At 38.5% G+C, this 1,723-nt stretch overlaps 1 annotated feature.

Annotated features, from left to right (window-relative positions):
* Positions 258 to 552: a silencer, noted in NCBI's record as "tiled region #13042; HepG2 Repressive non-DNase unmatched - State 24:Quies". NCBI's record gives its function as "represses a minimal TATA promoter and a strong SV40 promoter by Sharpr-MPRA in HepG2 cells {active_cell/tissue: HepG2}" and the evidence as "EXISTENCE:reporter gene assay evidence [ECO:0000049][PMID:27701403]".

Genomic DNA, 1,723 nt, shown 5'->3' with positions numbered 1-1,723 from the left:
ATTTACCTACCCTTTCCTAATTGGTTTTCTATGCTGTTGTGCCCACCTTTGAGTGGTGTCTTCACTTAACCTTTTTTGCCTACTCACAAACCAATCATCATACACTCCCCATTCCAAGTCCATAAAAAAACCCCATATCTAGCCACACTGAGAAAGAAACCCACCCAACTGGTGGGAAGGGGGGCCACCCATTACATCCCCTCTTTGCTTACAGCTCTTCATCATTCAATAAAATTCTTCTCCACCCATCCTCACTCTTCTAATTGTCAGTGCAATCTCATTCTTCTTGGATGCAGGACAAGAGCTTGGAAACTGGCAAACACAGGTACAATCTATAACACAGGCAGGCCTAGTGGGTGAGTCACCTCCAGCAGCAGGCTTGGGGCCCAGCAAGGCTGCGGCAGGGGTGTGTCACTGGCCGTGGAGGTCCTAAGTTGGCACAGGGAATGAGAAATATCTCACATCACTGGGATCAGTAGAAAGGAATGTCTGGGTTAAGATAAGAGGTTGTGGAGACTGAAGTTTATATTTGCAGAGGAAGACTTCATGAAGATAGTAGGCATCAGAGAGAATAGGTTGTAAAATGTTTCTTATCAGACTTAAAGTCTGTGTTGATGTTAATGCTGGAGAGGTATAATGAGGCATGTTCAATTGCCACTTCCTGTCATGGCCTGAAACAGTCTTTCAGGTTAAATTATAAAACAGCCCTGGCTGAGGAGAAAGTCCATTCAGATTGTTCGGGGTGGGGGGGGGGGTCTTAGAATATTATTTTTGATTTACACCTGGGAAAGGTGCCTAAATCTTTAACCAATGACTTTTACCTGGACAGTTCTACTTCAGGAGTTTAGAAATAGCCTACTCTTATCTAGACAAGCCTTAGCAAAAATCTAATTAAGCAATTTCTTGAGGGGTGATAACTTCTACAATACATATCTGCTCCCCCTTCACAAAACTCACACAGCAACATGCAATACAAACCATAACTTCCTAACAGAAGGAAAATGACTTTTGTCTAGTTCAAGGGTAATAAAGGTAAAGAGGTATTTTTGTAAAAAAAAAATAAAGAAAAAAAGATTTTATGTGAGAAAGGATCATGTATGGCAAATTATTTTCCTAAAGTAAAATGACTGATTGTTTAAAAAGAGAGCTGTTTAGGGGAAGTCAGAAAGTCCAAGCATGTGGCAGATGGTATGTGTAAGTTGTAAAAAGATTTATGAAAGATAATTTATAAAAATGTAGTTTTAAAGGGTATTAGGTCTAGCAAATGTTTTAAAGTCATAAACTCCTACTATGGCTCTGAACTGTAAAACTTGTGTGCTTTAAAGCTTGGTAAGACCTGGGGACATACAAAGTTAATCATGCCCCCTAGCTATGCTAGAAAGAGTCAAACCTTATCTGCACTTCTGTCTGGTGTCCGAGGCTCCAAAGCTAGTATATAATTAGAAGAAGTCACTTATCAAGTTTTTCAAAAAAAGTAAAAGTCTAAGAGTTAACAGTGTAACATGTACTTGAGACTACTGGAAAAATAGTTTTACATGCAAGCCATGTAAGTAAATTAAAATGTGCTTTTGGTAAAAGATTATAATAAAGTTTTGGAATGTGAATGTTTTTTGCCTAGTTTAGAAGTCTAAAGGATTGTGTTAGGTTAGATAGGATAAACCTGAAGGTTTAAGCAAGTTATGGAAGGTTTCTGAAAATTAACCATGTAAAAGAGATTCTGTGT

The sequence above is a fragment of the Homo sapiens genome, chromosome 3, assembly GCF_000001405.40.
Source record: "Homo sapiens chromosome 3, GRCh38.p14 Primary Assembly".
NCBI lineage: Eukaryota > Metazoa > Chordata > Mammalia > Primates > Hominidae > Homo > Homo sapiens.
The sequence above is the reverse complement of the archived record's forward strand: the minus strand, read 5'-3'. Positions and strand labels throughout refer to the sequence as shown.